General features: G+C 53.8%; 1 protein-coding gene across 1 annotated transcript in view; it reads right to left on the bottom strand.

Moving 5' to 3' along the window:
- Positions 1-17,227, bottom strand: part of TECPR2 (tectonin beta-propeller repeat containing 2) — a 139,537-nt gene that overhangs the window by 4,541 nt on the left and 117,769 nt on the right. The window contains exons 18-19 of the mRNA NM_014844.5: positions 817-958; positions 218-367 (exon numbers count right to left, since the gene is read on the bottom strand). Of these exons, the coding sequence (NP_055659.2) occupies positions 218-367; positions 817-958 (292 nt within the window). The remainder of the gene's footprint in view (positions 1-217; positions 368-816; positions 959-17,227) is intronic.

The raw sequence follows: 17,227 nt of genomic DNA, 5'->3' as shown, positions 1-17,227 counted from the left end.
GATGTCAACAGCACCTTGTCCTTGCCCAGGAGACTCTGGCAGAGCCCAGGTGTCCAGCCCCTTCCCTCCCTGGGACACACTCCTGGCTTTGCCCTCAGTTCTTGCTTTGAGAGATTGGAGCCCAGTGGGGTCGGCTTCTTTGAGAGCCCCCCGACATCGTCCACAGGAGCCCTGGGAACCCCAAGGGGCCTTAAGCCCACTGGCCCCGGGCACCTGCCTGTGAAACACGACACGCTGCCGGGAATTTTCTTCCAGTAGTCCCCGGCGGGGTTCTTGTCTGTGACGCCGTACCGCCGGGCGAGGTCTCCGTTTGGACAGCGGGCCCACACGGTCCTGGTGCTCAGCGCCAGCTGGCAGGCCTGCAACCCTGTGGGCAGACAGGGTCCCTCCTGAGCCCCTGCCATGGACGGGATGGGCCGCTGCTTCCCAAGCCGACTCTTGTGACGCTGCACACCTCCACCAGGGTCCCTGCGGGGACGGAGTGCCCATGATGGGCTGGGCTTGGGGCAGGAGCCGAGGGAAAGGACGACCAGTTGGCAGGGCCAGCAAAGCCACCGAAAGCCAGAAGTCAAAGGACAGAAGGGCCTGGGCAGTGTGCAAACTGCCCTCCCACAAAAGCACCAGCAGGACGGCCTGGGTTCCCCTGATAAGGAACATGATGGGAGGCTTGTCCCCTGGCCCAGGAAGCAGCGGCGACAGCACAGCCCCAGCACAAAGGCTGCCTCACAGACAGCGGCCTGGAGGGAGCGCCCAGCAGCCCCCAGTGATGGTAGCCCCGGCTGGCCGGCACCACAGGCCCTGTCTGCAGGCTCCTACCTGGCACATGCTCCCAGGCGGTCCCCACAGGCATCTCCTCGGTGATCCCGGTCCGCACGTGCACGTTCCACCTGCTGTCAAGCACCCACAGCATCTGGTCGTTGGGGCTGGAATGGACGCTGACCAAGCTGACCCCGGCGGGCTGGAAGCGGGAAGGGACTTTCAGGGAAGGCAGGAGTTGGGTGACAAGAGAAAGGACAGGAGACTTCCGGAACTGGGGACATGTTAGTGGCAGCATGCAGCAGCCAGTGTGGGCCCCGCAGGAGGCAGAGAGGCCACGTCCTGCCCCTAGTGCCAGTCTCACGGGGGAGATGGTCACTTGTCTCCAGAATGTCAGGTGGGCCAGACTGAGGGACAGCCCAGCAGATACCAGCATGGACTCCAGCAGGAGGCCAAGAAGGGCAGGGATGGCCCAGGTGAACAGAGAGTGGAGGAATGAGAGGAGAGATGCGGCGGACCTGGCTGTGAAGGACCATGGTGGGCACTGTGAGAAACAAAAACGCCAGCCCAGGAGCCCCTGCCACCTGCCTGTGCTGCCCTCACCATCCTGGCTCAGCTGAGGCCCCTCTCCTCTAGGCACAGCTGTCCTCCCGAATGTGCTGCCGGGCAGGCAACATCTGCGTTGACCAGGCCGCGGCACAAGACTGCCGCCCTGCCCTGGTCCTTGGGCAGCCTCTGTCCATGCTCAGCATCTCCGGTCCTTTGTCTGCTCTTCACAGGACAGGAGGAAGTCCCTCCAGTGTCCTGTTTGCTGTCCACCGGCAACTCCAGTTTGCCCCAGGGCTTCCCACCCCTCAGTTGGACCAGGCCTCCATGCCCGCGAGCACAGCACTGTCTGGAGGATCTGGGCCTCTGGTCACCAGCAGTGCTGGTGGGTGACCCGAGCCCCGAGGGGCTGGCTGTCCCCCACTGCCTGGCACTGCCTGCTTTTCTGGAACCCACAGTCTTCCCTGCTACATCTGTGGTCTTGGGTCCCTGCCCTCCTGGTCGGCCTCCATGGGACCGAGTGGGCCACCCAGTGGAAACTGGCAGATCCCTCGCTGCCGCCACACATCTCCTGCTCCTTGCTTTGTGCTCAGGGCTGCCGTGAATACAATCACACTGGATGCCCTGTGCCACACTCTGGCCGCACAGTGCTCCTGTCATAGTGCCCGTGTCACACACTTGCCGGGGCCAGACACTCTCAGGGCCCTCAGGCAGTGGGACCTCCCTCCACCTGCACCTCCCGGATCGAGGTGCCCTCTCCAGGCTGCCCGCATCCTCACCCGCCGGCTGCTCTGGGCAGGGGCCCCTAACTGTGGGCTGATGAACGCATGTATGAAATGCCTCCCGTGGGCACCAAGTCTCACACCTCAGCCCCAGGGCCAGTCCCAGTGGATCAGGACATGGAGGATGGAGAGACAGAGCAGCAAGGAGGACGGGGCGGTGGCCGCTCTTGTCGGCACATCACCACCAGTCACCACTGCCTGAGCCAGTGTTTGCCTTTGCTGCTGCTAGGTCCTCTAAGGACCAACCGGTCTTCCCAGACATGGCAGGTTTCTTCCCCAGCCGCCCGGCCTCCCCACCCAGCCCTGCTTTGCAGAGTGATCACAGGCCTCTCCCCTCCCTTCCCTGGAGTCCCTGCATCCCCCTGGAATGGGGGCTTAGCCTAGAACAGCGCTTCCCCAAATCTGCGCCTCTGAATCCCAGGTCCATGGAATAGAAATAGGTGTGATGTATAGAAAGGGGGTTCCATAGCCAAACAAGTTAAGCTAAGCTCAGAGGGAAGGTGGTGAATAGAAATCCCAAACACATCCAGACTTGGTCGCAGCTCCGCAGCCAAAACACTGACAGGCACAGGGCCACCCCCTCCCTCCTGCCCCCACCTGATTCTGGCTGTCAGAAAGTTCTCTTTAAAAAAATTTTTTTTAAGACAGGGTCTCGCTGTCACCCAGGCTGGAGTGCCCTGGCGCAATCCCGGCTCACTGCAACCTCCATCTCCCTGGCTCAAGTGATCCTCCCACCTCAGCTTCCCAAGAATCTGGGACTACAGGTGCACACCACCACACCAGGCTAATTTTTGTATTTTGTTGTAGACACTGGGTTTCACCATGTTGCCCAGGCTGGTCTTGAACTCGTGGGTTCAAGTGAGCCATTCCCCTTGGCCTCCCAAAGTGCTGAGATTACAGGCGTGAGCCACCGTGCCTGGCCAAAGTTCTCTCTTGTGTGAGCTCACTCAGGGTGCCGCTGGAGTGACTGCAGGTCTCAGCCTGCCAGTGAGGTGAATGAGCTAGTTTAGTTTTTTTTTTTTTTTTTTGAGACGGAGTTTCGCTCTTGTTACCCAGGCTGGAGTGCAATGGTGTGATCTTGGCTCACCGCAACCTCCGCCTCCCAGGTTCAAGCAATTCTCCTGCCTCAGCCTCCCGAGTAGCTGAGATTACAGGCATGCACCACCATGCCAGGCTAATTTTGTATTTTTAGTAGAGACGGGGTTTCTCCATGTTGAGGCTGCTCTCGAACTCCTGACCTCAGGTGATCCGCCCACCTCGGCCTCCCAAAAGTGCTGGGATTACAGGCGTGAGCCACCGCACCCGTCCGAGCTAGTTTTTTTTTGAGTCTCACTGTGTCTGGAGTGCAGTGGCGTGATCTTGGCTCACTGCAACCTCTGCCTTCCGGTTTCAAGGGATTCTCCTGCCTCAGCCTCCCAAGTAGCTGGGATTATGGGTGCCCACCTCCAAGCCCAGCTAATTTTTGTATTTTTAGTAGAGACGGGGTTTCACCATGTTGGCCAGGCTGATCTAGAACTCCTGACCTCCAGCGATCTGCCTGCCTCGGCTTCCCAAGGTGCTGGGATTACAGGTGTGAGCCACTGCGCCCAGCCACGAGTGAGCTATTTTAAGAGACACAGAGAGAACAGAGTCCTAGAGTCCTAGCGAGGGGCTCCCTTCGCTGCTCCCTCAGCCCTTTGGTCGCTCACTCCACACATTTGCCCAAGTTACAGGCACAGGCTCTGGAAGCCTTCGTGAGTGGGCTGGATGGGGCTCTCAGGTAGCACCAGAGCAGGCAATTGGACGTAAGCACCAGGCTAGGTTCAGATATGGGAGGCACCACCAGGAAATAAAATGAGCAACTGGCAGTGGGTGGTCAGGTGAGGAGGTGGCATTAGGGTTGATGCCCGGAGGACACAGGGCCACTGAGGGGAGAGAGGGAAGGGTTGGATGGCAGATGCCAGAAGGCTGGGCACCACCCTGGACAGCGGTCCCAGCTTAAAGCAGAGCGGCATTGGAAGCCCGAGCCACTTTCCACGCAGAACCTCAGATGCACCGGTGAGATCCAAGGGATCCGAGGGAGCCGCGCCTGTGCTGCAGGGTCACCGCAGCCCCTGCCCCTGTCACAGCAGGGAGGCTGGGGCGGGGCGGCCAGCAGGGCTGTGGGATGCAATCCAGGAGGGCAGGGGTGCCAGGACCGAGTCCCCAGGGACCACCTGGAGCGCACTCAAGGCAAGTCCCCACCGCTAGCTGTGCTGGGATCAGATGTTTGGGATTTCTATTCACCACCTTCCCTCTGAACTTAGCTTAACTTGTTTGGCTATGGAACCCCCTTTCCATACATCACATCCATTTCCATTCCATGGACCTGGGGTTCAGAGGTGCAGATTTGGGGAAGCGCTGTTCTAGGCTAAGCCCCCATTCCAGGGGATGCAGGGGCTCCAGGGAAGGGAGGGGAGAGGCCTGCCAGCTGAGGCCGAGGCTGAGGCCACCAGGCTATGTGGAGGAGAGGCTCCCGCCAGGCTCCCGCCTTCCCCACTCGGAAGGCCGCGTGGAGAAGACAGAAAAGCGGCCCAGGCCTCGCCATTCAGCCCACTGGCCAGGGCCCCGACGTGGTGGAGCAGAGCCAGGACTCCCCCACACACTGCCCGTAGTCCTGGCCCAGAGCTGAGACGCGCTGTGGTTTGAAGCAGCTAGCTTTTGAATAGTAAGTCAAGGACAACGGGAATGATGGAGAGAGGAGGAGATGACTGTGCTTCAGCAGAAGGGCAAGAACAGCAAGGACCAAAGTGGAGTCTCTGAGGGGTCTCCAGATAGAGAAAGATGGGCGCTGGAAGCAGCACGGTGGCAGGCGGAGAAGTGCTCGTGAGCGGGCAGAGGATGGCTACCCCGCATCCCTTTCCTCTTCTCTCCATCACCTCGCAACGTCTCTGGAACATAAAACTTCCCTGTCTCCCTTGGCTCTCTCGCTTCCGGGCTCTGCCTCCTAATGTGAGCCTCCGCCCATTAACAGCCTTTACTAGAAGCCGCTAGAACAGAACATGGTGGGAAGAGCAAGCGGGGCCCAGCCTCACCCTGGCCTTGCCAGTCGTCCCTTCCGGACACACACGCCCCCTCACGCGTTGCTCACCTGGCACGCTGCTGCCCACCCTTCACAACCCCACTCACGCTGCCTGCCAGGCCTCTGGGAAGGGCCCCTGTGCTGCCTGGGAGCTCCCTGCAGGAGGAGGCCACGTCTGCCCAGCTCCAGCCCAGCCCGATGCTGAGGAGGTGCGTGGAGGATGGACCCTGACCACCTGCTTCCCTCAGAAACATTCTGCGTCCCCAGCCCCTCACCCGCTTTTATCCAATAAAAAGAAACTCTATTTTGTATTACTGGAGGAAAATATACATTTGAAAACTACACAAATCCTAAGTGCACAGCATGACAGAGCTTCCCAATTTGAGTGCACCTGTGTGACCAGTGGCTGGCCCAAGAAGGAGAAGGAGAGCCCCGGCCCTGGCTGCTGCCACACTCCTGACACCAGGGCCTGGGCTGTCTGGGTCTGACTTTACACGACGGAAGCTCATGGCATAGTGGCTTCTCTCCGAAAGGAGGACTGGCACTCCCTGGCAGGGCCCTCACTCTAGGTGAGAGGCCAGCCTGCAGACAGCCCAGGAGGGCTTCAGGAAGGGGTAGGGATGGAGGCCAGGTCTCAGAGGGTGGGAGAGCACAGTCTGACGAAAAGCACATGGGGACACCAGTAAATGCTCTTTAAAAGAGGAAGAGCAAGTCATTCTGGACACATCTTTCCAGGTTTATCATCTTGCCTCATGCCTTTACCCAGTATTTCCCAGACTGGGTTCCATGGTACACCATACCACCCCTACCACTGGCAGGGCTCATGTGGCCCAAGGCCTCACACCAGCTGTCTCCTGGACACCTCTAATTGGAGGCATGTGATCATTTGTTCGACAAATGAGCACCCACACATGCTGGGTTTTGGGGAAACCTCAACTGCAAACAAAACACTTGTTTCTGCCCACCCAGAACTGCCATCCTACTGGGGAGGGTGGGGCACAACCCGGACAAACCAATGCCATACTGCGTAACAGAGAGAAGGGCCAGAGGGACACCCTGACTCTGCCTGGAGTGGAGGGGCAGTGATCCTGCCAACACCTAGGGAAGGTACCCAGCAGCCCCAGCAAGTGTAGAACTGAGGGTAGCTCAGGGTTGCAGCAAGGAGGCTGGGAGGCTGCAGCCCAGTGGTGAGGCCAGAGTGGCTGCTAGGGCTGATGGCAGGCTTCAGGCTGAGGGAAGAAGTATGATTTCATTCTGAGTGACGTGGGAAGCTGCCAGAAGGGTGTGAAAAGAGGAAAGGGCTGGGCACGGTGTCTCATACCTGTAATGCCAGCACTTTGGAAGACTAAGGAGGGAGGACTGCTTGAGCCAAGGAGTTTGAGACGAGCCTGGGCAACAGCAAGACCTTGTCTCTACCAAAATTTAAAAAATTATCTGGGCATGGTGGCATGTGCCTATAGTCCCAGCTACTTAGGAATCTCAGGCAGGAGGATAACTTGAGCCCAGGAGTTTGAGGCTGCAGTAAGCCATATTCGTGCCATTGCACTCTAGCTTGGGCAACAGAGCAAGACCCTCTGTAATAATAAACAAAATAAAAGTAAAAAAAGAGGAGAGATGTGGGCTGAGCGCGGTGGCTCACACCTGTAATCCCAGCACTTTGGGAGGCCCAGGCGGGTGGATCATCTGAGGTCAGGAGTTTGAGACCAGCCTGACCAATATGATGAAACCCCATCTCTACTAGAAGTACAAAATTAATCGGGCATGGTGGCATGCGCCTGTAATTCCACCAACTTGGGAGGCTGAGACAGGAGAATCACTTGAACCCGGGAGGCAGAGGTTGCAGAGAGCTGAGATCGTGACATTGCACTCCAGCCTGGGCAATAAGAGTGAGACTCTGTCTCAAAAAAAACCCAAAAAAACAAAAAAAGAGGAGAGATATGAACTAGCACATGTCGTCTGAGGACCCTTCTGGCTGCAGTGAGGACAAGCTGCAGGGAAGGGCAGGTAGAACAAGAACCCCGTTCCGGACGCTGGTGCAATAAGCCAGGGGCTGGTGGTACAGGCAGGCCCTAAGAGGCCGATGGAACAGGTTTGGAGGAGGAGCCCATGGCGCCTGCTGAAGGACTGGCAAAGTGGCCCTGGGGTGTCTGCTCTGCCTGAGTCTGGACCTTTTCAGAGCAGACGCCAGGCCGGGGCGGAGCTCAGCACCCCGGGTGGTCGCGGCAATCATGACCCCGAGCCACAGATGTCGGGTGACTCGGGAAGGCGCCTCTGCTAAAATACACCGAGGTTTCAACAGACAAAAAACCAACGCTTGAAAAGTTGGCAAACTCGGGGGTTGCTTTGCTGACTGCTCTCTAGGTTAGTAACAGAGAGGCCTGGTCCTAGCCCTGCCTGGCAGTCCTGCCTGCTGGGGCTCTGGGCACACCCTGGGTGTCATGACATGATGCCTGTGAGGGGCTTCGAGACCAGCAGGGCTGGGCATCAGTGAGGGATGATTTTCTATTAGGTCAGAAACAATGATAATCACTGGACCTCAAAGCAAATGACTTCATCATCTTCCTCTGGAGCAAACCGATTTCTTACGGTCTGAGAGTGGTGCCAGTGGGAAGCAGCACAGGATCTTGGGAGCAGGGAATTCCACTGTTTGCTCACAGTGACCAAGGAAGGTGCCGCGTGGGGTTAACACACAGACCTGCTGTGCGGCTTTCATCACAGTGACCTGATTCACTGGCGGTCTCAACACACCTTTGCTGTATTTATTTTATAAACTCACTGTATTTTTTTTTTGTAACTGTCACCTGGATTTGCTTGTTTTTGCTTTATTTTTAGTGGAGGCACTGATGTAAGTGCCTCCACTAAAGTTAGTGTAGATTCTTCTCAAGCCTTTCTTTGGAGGCAAAAGAACTCCCGGCTGAGCCTGGCACTGCTGGTTTGTTAGCTGTGCTGAGTGCAAGAGCGGCTAGCTGTCCCCTGGTTTGTACCAGAAGTCTGGGGCTGAATAAACCCTCATTTAAACAGACAAAACCCAGACACACTCAGGGGCTGTCAGAGAGAGCACGTATCACTCAGGGCCACACACTGTAGGATTCCTTTTTTTTTTTTTTTTGACACAGTTTTGCTCTTGTCGCCCGGGCTGGAGTGCAATGGTGTGATGTTGGCTCACTGCAACCTCTGCCTCTCATGTTCAAGTGATTCTCCTGCCTCAGCCTCCCGAGTAGCTGGGACTACAGGGGCCTGCCACCATGCCCAGCTAATTTTTGTATTTTTAGTAGAGACAAGGTTTCACCATCTTGGCCAGGCTGGTCTTGAACTCCTGACCTTGTGATCCACCCACCTTAGCCTCCCAAAGTACTGGGATAGAGACAGGGTTTCACCATTTTGGCCAGGCTGGTTTTGAACTCCTGACCTTGTGACCCACCCACCTCAGCCTCCCAAAGTACTGGGATTACAGGTGTGAGCCACCGCGCCCAGCCAGGATTCCATTTCTATGAAACATCCAGAAGAGGAAAATCCCAGGTAGAAATCAGGTGAGCAGCTGCTACAGGCTGGGAGAGAGGAGGGAGGAGGAATGGGGAGTGGCTTCACATTGCTAGGGGCTTTCTTGAGGGATAAGAATGTTCTGGAACTAGGTTGGGCACAGTGGCTCATGCCTGTAATCCCAGCACTTTGGGAGGCCGAGGTGGGCAGATCACTTGAGGTTAGGAGTTTGAGACCAGCCTGGCCAACATGGTGAAACTCCATCTGTACTAAAAATACAAAATTAGCCAGGCATGGTGGCGCATGCCTGTAGTCCTAGTGTCTCGGGAGGCTGAGGCAGGAGAATCACTTGAACCTGGGGAGGCAGAGGTTGCAGTGAGCCCAGATTGTGCCACTGCATTCCAGCCTGGACAACAAGAGCAAAACTCCATCTCAAAAAAGAAAAAAAAAAGAATGTTCTGGAACTATATAGTGACAATGGTTGCACAACATTGCAAATGTACTGTCACTAACGGTAAATCTCATGTGTATTTTATCACAATTTAGAAAAAAAAAAAAGTAGACAAGCCTTGGTTGTGACAGTGTACTATAGTTTTGCAGTTACCATTGCTGTGAACTGGGTAAAGGGTACTCAGGATTTCTTATAAATACAAGTGCAGTGACCATTATCTCAATAAAAATTTCAATTAGGCCGGGTGCAGTGGCTCATGCCTGTAATCCCAGCACTTCGGGAGGCTGAGGCAGGCGGACCACCTGAGGTCGGGAGTTTGAGACCAGCCTGACCAATATGGAGAGACCTCGTCTCTACTAAAAAAAAAGTACAAAATTAGCCGGACGTGGTGGGGGGCGCCTGTAATCCCACCTACTCAGGAGGCTGAGGCAGAAGAATTGCTTGAACCCAGGAGGCAGAGGTTGCGGTGAGTCAAGATTGCGCCATTGCACTCCAGCCTGGGCAAAAAGAGTGAAACTACGTATCAAAAAAATAAAAAAAAATTCAATTAAAAAAAAAAAAAAGGCCGAGCACAGTGGCTTACACCTATAATCCCAGCTCTATGAGACACTGAGGCAGGAGAATTGCCTGAGCCCAGTAGCTCGAGACCTAATCTCTACTAAAAAAACAAAAAAAAAGTAGTAGGTGATCTAAAATTTTGGCTTATTCATATTAAAAACTTCATAAAAATGCAAAAGAGGCTGGGCGTGGTGGCTCACGCCTGTAATCCCAGCCCTTTGGGAGGCTGAGGCAGGCGTATCACCTGAGGTCCGGAGTTCAAGACAAGCCTGACCAATATGGAGAAACCCCATCTCTACTAAAAAATATACAAAATTAGCCAGGTGTGGTGGCTCATGCCTGTAATCCCAGCTACTCAGGAGGCTGAGGCAGGAGAATCGCTTGAACCCGGGAGGCAGAGGTTGTGGTGAGCCGAGATCGCGCCATTGCACTCCAGCCTCGGCAACAAGAGTGAAACTCCGTATCAAAAAAAAAAAACAAACAGGCCGGGCGTGGTGGCTCACGCCTGTAATCCCAGCAGTTTGGGAGGCCGAGGTGGGCGGATCACGAGGTCAGGAGATTGAGACCATCCTGGCTAACACAGTGAAACCCCGTCTCTACTAAAAATACAAAAAATTAGCCAGGCGTGGTGGCGGGCGCCTGTAGTCCCAGCTACTCGGGAGTCTGAGGCAGGAGAATGGTGTGAACCTGGGAGGCGGAGCTTGCAGTGAGCCCAGATTGCGCCACTGCACTCCAGCTTGGGGGAGAGAGCGAGACTCCATCTCAAAAAAAAAGAAAAGAAAAGAAAAAGAAAACACAAGTGTCTGGGGCTCAGACCACAGTTCTTCAAACTTCTTGTAGCTGAGCTTTTATCATAGCTTTTATCAACACACGTGTGCGCACGCACACACACACTCACACATGTTCCTCAGTCAGAATGTGGTAAACCCAGGCTGAAAAACAAAAACATGCTGAAGATTTCACAGCCAAAGGAAACATGTATCTAGACAGACCATTTTGGCATGGACTTATCAGAACTTGGAAGAAATTCAGCAGGAATGTTTCAGGAATACCAGGGTGGACCGAGGGTTTTTGAAGCGGCAGCACAAATGCCCCAGGAAAGACGCCTCTGGAAATAATCCTAACCCAAACAAACCACGGTTATCCAGGCGGCCATTTGTGCTTTCCACACTGCCTTTTCTTTTCCCTCCAAGTCTCTCTCCCTCCCTGTTTTAACCTTGAATCCCCGTAAAGACTGACACATGCTGAGCTTTACTTTCCCTCAAGGATTCATGGTGCTGCTGTGTGTCTGTCCGTCTATCCGTGCAGCCTCAGGGGGCGCTGAGGCGTGTGGGTTGGTTGGGCCATTTGTCACATGGCCCCGTGGTAGCTGTACTTTCTGACTTCTGTTTGGTCTTTCTAGTTCTTTTTTCCCTGTAGCAGACCCTCTTCCTGCTTCTGGTCTATTCTTCCCAATTTCAGATGGGCTTAAAAACCCGATACCCATGTTAATAGGTCTAGAATTAAATTAAAGGTAAATTCTCAGAGCCAGGGCTGACACACTAGGAGGACCTCCTCTTCGTGGTCTGTGTCCTTAGCTGGAGGAGCCGGGGACCATGATCTCTGAGGCTCCTCGAGACTCTGACCGTGGTACGAGGTGGGTATGGCTGCCCGGGGCCTGCTGTGCTGAGCTCTCTCTCTGTCCTCACTGGCCCGAAGACCAGCAGTTTTCCAGCAGCGCCTGTGGGGCCCTGGCCTTGCAGAGGTGCCTCAGGGCCCCTGTGGAAGGGGCAGTTTCATGGGACCAGTTTTGCTGTTACTTGTTGAACACATCTGGCTTATGTACAAGATTTTATTTAAGGCTGGACAGCTGGGAGTGTTTTTTGTATTTTGTACACACACCTGTAGTCCCAGGTACTCAGGAGGATGAGGTAAGAGGATCACTTGAGCCCAGGAGGTTGAGGTTACAGTGAACTGAGATTGTGTCACTGCACTCCAGCGTGGGTGACGGAACAAGAGCCTAACTCAAAAAAATTTTTTTTTAATTTGAAGAATGGGTCCCACTGCTAAAAAACATTTGGAAACTTCTGGCCCAGCAGAGCAGGGCTCCAGACAGAAACAGGCTCCACTGCTGCTCTCTTCTGGCCTGTCAGAGGCCTCTCCCTCTCCGTGGTGGGTCCTTCTGCACTGACTCCAGTTACTGCTGGGCCTCTACATCTGGTCTGAGGTGTGACCTCAGAATCCAGCAAGAAGCTGCATCTGCTAATTGTAGGGGGTGCGCTAAAGAAAACGCTCAGAAGCAGGTTTCCTGGGTGCCTGTCACATTCTGTCCTTCCTGAGCAGGGGCTGGTGGAGCCAACTGGCCACTCTTCCTGTCTACCCTCCAGACCTTGTCACTGATACCAGCCCAACGACTGCGCCATGGCTAGCACCAGGACTCAAATATTGCTGTGAGACAAGAAGAGCAGAAGCTGGACCCAGTGGCACACACCCTGGTCTCTGATAGCTCATCGCCCTGCTCTGTGGCTGACTCTACAGACAGGCTCGGGGAAGCACCTTCTGGATGAGTGCAGCCCAGAGGGAGAGGTCCCTAAAGATGATCTCTGGGCTCTGCTCCTCTAGGGTCATGGCAAGCATCGCGAGGGGCTCCCCTTCCTGCCGCTCATGGTTTTACTGGGGGCACACGCAGGGCAGGCTGGGACAAGCTTCCCTAGGTCGTTGTTTAAACTACTGGGTCATAAGTTGTTAAAGCACGATGAGGGGACTGCTGCAGGACCCAGGGCACCCCGTTAGAACCCTGTGGTCTACTTCTAGGTATCATGGCCTTCCAGAATGAGAGAAAAGACTTAGAGTTCAATATGGTGAAGAGGGGTAATAGTTCCTAGAAGCAAGTTTTGAAGAAGAGAGCTCAAAAACAATAGATGTTTAAATGGAGGTATAGGAAAAAAAGGCAACATGGAAAAAATTAAAGGAAGTGGCAAAAAACAATTTAGTTTCTCTCAAAGGGAGCTGGTTCCATCCCACACCATTAGACAGCAGTTTGGGGAGGTTTCATACCTTCATTTGCAGGCAGCATAGTTGTGCTGACGGAACAACTTACAGTGTAACAGGCAGCCCCACCAGCACCTAAATACCACTCAAAGATGTTCAGAGGCTTAGAGGAAAATAGTGGCTATACTCTGAAGACTGTGATACCAGAACCGTGGAGGTGAAGGGGATGAGCTGCACCATGGTGCTCAGCGCTGGGTATGTGCAAGAGTCACCTGCAGGGCGCTGAAGAAGCCAGAAGCTTCTGGGCAGTGATGATAATGAGCACACAATTACTCTTTCACTCCCTTCTCAAGCACCACTACCATGAGAGGGAATGGGTTAAACAAAGAAAAACGGGGCGGGCGCAGTGGCTCGCGCCTGTAATCCCAGCACTTTGGGAAGCCGAGGCAGACCGGATCACCTGAGGCCAGGAGTTCGAGACCAGCCTGACTAACATGGCGAAACCCTGTCTCTACCAAAAATACAAAAATTAGCCAGGCATGGTGGCATGCGCCTGTAATCCCAGCTACTCGGGAGGCTGAGGCAGAGAATTGCTTGAACACAGGAGGGGGAGGCTGCAGTGAGCTGAGATCGGGCCACTGCACTCCAGCCTGGGTGACAAAGCAAGACTCCATCTCAAAGAAAAAAGGTTCAAATCTCCTAAGGACAGAGAGAATGAGGGGAGGAAGCAGCCATACAATTCTGGAAGCTGGAAAGTGGGGGATGCATGGCAAGGACTCAGCGGGCCCTGGAAGGCTAAAAGCAACGACTCCCCACCCAGCAGCCCAGCCAGATTGCTGTCAGAGACCCGCGGGGCCCACAGGCTCCATGCATGTGCTCAGGGCTTCCAGTCAGCCTTGCTGGGCCTCACTCTTCCAACCAGGGGACTGCCAACATCTGAAGAAAGCCTCTGCCATGTAAAAGGCGAACTAGACAGAAAACACACAACTTGGGACATACAAAGACCAGGCAGGGAGAAGAAACTTCCAAAACATCCTTAGGGAGATGAGAGAAGACTGACTCTACAGCCATCAAACAACAACAGGAACTTTCAGAAATTAAACATGTGATCATGGAAATAATCTGACAGAGGGTTGGAGAAATAAGGTTGAGAATGTCTTCTAGAAAGCAGGATAAAAGCATAAAAAGACAGAAACAGGAGAGAAAGGAAAAGTGGAGGCCAGCTTAGAAAGTCCACAATACAAAAGGAAGCCTCCAGGCTGGGCACAGTAGCTAATGCCTGTAATCCCAGCACTTTGGGAGGCCAAGGCAGGTGGATCACCTGAGGTCAGGAGTTCGAAACCAGCCTGGCAAACATGGTGAAACCTTGTCTCTACTGAAAATATAAGAATCAGCCAGGCATGGTGGCAGGTGCCTATAATCCCAGCTACGTGGGAGGCTGAGGCAGGAGAATCGCTTGAACCCGGGGGGCAGAGGCTGTAGTGAGCCCAGATTGCGCCACTGCACTCCAGCCTGGGCAACAAGGGCAAAAACACCAACTCAAAAAAAAAAAAAAAAAAAAAGAAAAGGAAAAGGAGGCCTTCAGCCAGAGCAGACAGAAAACAGGAGGGGTGCCAGGTGCAGTTGCTCATGCCTGGAATCCAGCACTTTGGGAGGCCAAGGTGGCAGGATTGCTGGAGCCCAGGAGTTCAAAAGCAGCCTGGGCAATATAGTGAGACTCCATCTCTACAAAAAATAATAAAAAAATTAGCTGAACATGGTGCATATGCCTGTGGTCCCAGCTACTTGGGAGGCTGTGGTGGGAGGATTGCTTGAGCCCAGAAGTTTAAAGCTACAATGAGCTGTGATTGCGCCATTGTGCTCCAGCCTGGGTGACAGAGTGAGAGACCGTCTCAAAAACAAAACAAAACAAAACAAAACCCCACAACAACAAAAAACCCTACAACAACAACAACAACACACAAAAACATAACAACAAAAAAAGGAAAACAAGAGAGGCGGGGCAGAAGAGGACCCCAGCAGAGGACCCAGACACCCACCAGCACATAGGCTGCAACCACCTGGCTGCAAGGATGAACACAGCCCTCACCAAGGCATACCACTATGTATCTGTTCTTATAACACTAGGAACAAAGAGACCTTACAAACTTTCAGAAAGAAAAACAGGTCAAGTATCAAGGATCAGGTGTTAGAACGGCTTCTGGGCCGGGCGAGGTGGCTCACGCCTGTAATTCCAGCACTTTGAGAGGCCGAGACGGGCAGATCATAAGGTCAGGAGATCGAGACCATCCTGGCTAACACGGTGAAACCCCATCTCTACTAAAAATACAAAAAAAAAAAAAATTAGCCAGGCGTGGTAGCGGGCGCCTGTAGTCCCAGCTACTCGGGAGGCTGAGGCAGGAGAATGGCGTGAACCTGGGAGGCAGAGCTTGCAGTGAGCCGAGATCATGCCACTGCACTCCAGCCTGGGCGACAGAGCGAGACTCCGTCTCAAAAAAAAAAAAAAAAAAAAAAAGAAAGGCTTCTGGCTTCTCAGTAGCAATCCTGGAAGCCGAGAGACAATGGAGAAAGACCCTCAAAATCCTAAAGGAAAATGGTTTCCAACCTAGACTGCTATATCCAGCAAGGTCAAGGGTGAACACAGATGAAAGACTTTTCAGACATGCAATACCTCCAAAAAGTCACCAACCATGAACCCTTCCTTGGGAACCGACTGGAAGATAAACTCCACCCAAACAAACACAGACACAGAGAGAGGAAGACCCGGGATCCGGGAGAAAGGGGCTCTAACATGAGGGGAGGTCAAAGGTGACGCTAGGACAACAGCTGGGTCCCGGGTAGAGAGAGGAACGAGGCCAGACTGGAGCTGGCCAAGAGGGTGCAGGAGAGATCTCTGCAGGGGGAAGAAATGGAGAGGACACATTCCTAATGTGTGAGACAACTGGCAGAGAGTTTGGGATTGAATGTGTGGAACTGCACTTAGAAAACTAGATGAGCAGGCTGGGTGTAGTGGCTCATGCCTGTAATCCCAGCACTTTGGGAGGCCAAGGCAGGTGGCTCACCTGAGGTCAGGAGTTTGAGACCAGGCTGGCCAATGTGGTGAAACCCTGTCTCTATTAAAAATACAAAAAATTAGCTGGGTGTGGTGGCACACGCCTGTTAAGCCCAGCTACTCGGGAGGCTGAGGCAGAAGAATCACTTGGACCCAGGAGTTGGAGGTTGCAGTGAGCAGAGATTGATCGCACCATTGCACGCCAGCCTGGGCAACAGAGCAAGGCTCTGTCTCAAAAAAAAAAAGAAAAAAAACTAGATGAGCAAACAAGATGATTATCAAGTCCAGGGAAAACAAAGAGTCACACAGACAAGGAACTGCAGGTGTGATTCATCCCCTGCCTCCGCTGTGAAGAGCTCCTCTGTCCTCACAGCAAGGCCCGTGCCCAGGAAGCACTGCAGCTCTGGCAGGGTGGAAGTAGGAAGGGAGGTGGGTGGCTGGGGGAATGGGGGACGGGGGATGCAAGAGCTCTGCATGCTTCTCTTCCCGCAGAGAGTCAACCAGAAACACCTGAAGTCAGGGGACCAAACACAGCTCCCGAAGCAGCATTCAGAGACAGGCAGCGAAAAGAACTGAAAGGAACTCTCCAGAGAGGGCAAAATTGGCAGGAGAGACATGTTTCTTATAGCACATCTTATAGAACCCACTGACATGTCAACCTACTGATTTTCACATGTGACTCTGTTTTCTTTCTTTTACAGATGGAGGCTCACTCTGTTGCCCAGGCTGGAGTGCGGTGGATGATCCTGGTCTCCAGTGATCCTCCCACCCAGCCTCCTGAGTAGGTGGGACTAGAGGCACATACCACCACACTTGGCATTTCATGTATGACTTTCATGAAAAATAAAAACCAGGCTCGGTGTGGTGGCTCCTATCTGTAATCCCAACACTTTGGGAGGCCAAGACAGGTGGATCACTTGAGGTCAGGAGTTCCAGACCAGCCTGGCCAACACAGTGAAACCCCATCTCTACTAAAAATACAAAAATTAGCTGGGTGTGGCTGGGCACAGTGGCTCACGCATGCAATCCCAGCACTTTGGGAGGCCGAGGCGGGCAGATCACCTGAGATCAGGAGTTTGAGACCAGCCTGGCCAACATGGAGAAACCCCGTCTCTACTAAAAATACAAATACATAGTGGCACTCACCTGTAGCCCCAGCTACTCAAGAGGCTGAGGTGGGAGGACCACTTGAACCCAGGAGGCAGAGGTTGTAGTGAGCTGAGATTGTGCCACTGCACTACGCGCCTGGGTGACAGAGTGAGACCCTGTCTCAAAAAAAAAAAAAAAAAATTAGCCAGGCGTGGTGGCGGGTGCCTGTACTCCCAGCTACTCAGGAGGCTGAGGCAGGAGAATCACTTGAACCCAAGAGGCGGAGGTTGCAGTGAGCCAAGATCACCCCACTGAACTCCAGTGGGCGACAGAGCAAGACTCCATCTCAAAAAAAAAAAAAAAAAAAAAAACCCAAAACCAAAAAACAAAACTGGCCAGGCACAGTGGCACACGCCCGCAATCCCAGCACTTTGGGAGGCTGAGGGGTGGGAGGATCACTTGAGACCAGTAGTTTGACACCAGCCTGGACAACACAGCAAGAC

The sequence above is a fragment of the Homo sapiens genome, chromosome 14, assembly GCF_000001405.40.
Source record: "Homo sapiens chromosome 14, GRCh38.p14 Primary Assembly".
NCBI lineage: Eukaryota > Metazoa > Chordata > Mammalia > Primates > Hominidae > Homo > Homo sapiens.
This window is presented reverse-complemented; position numbering and strand designations above follow the sequence as displayed.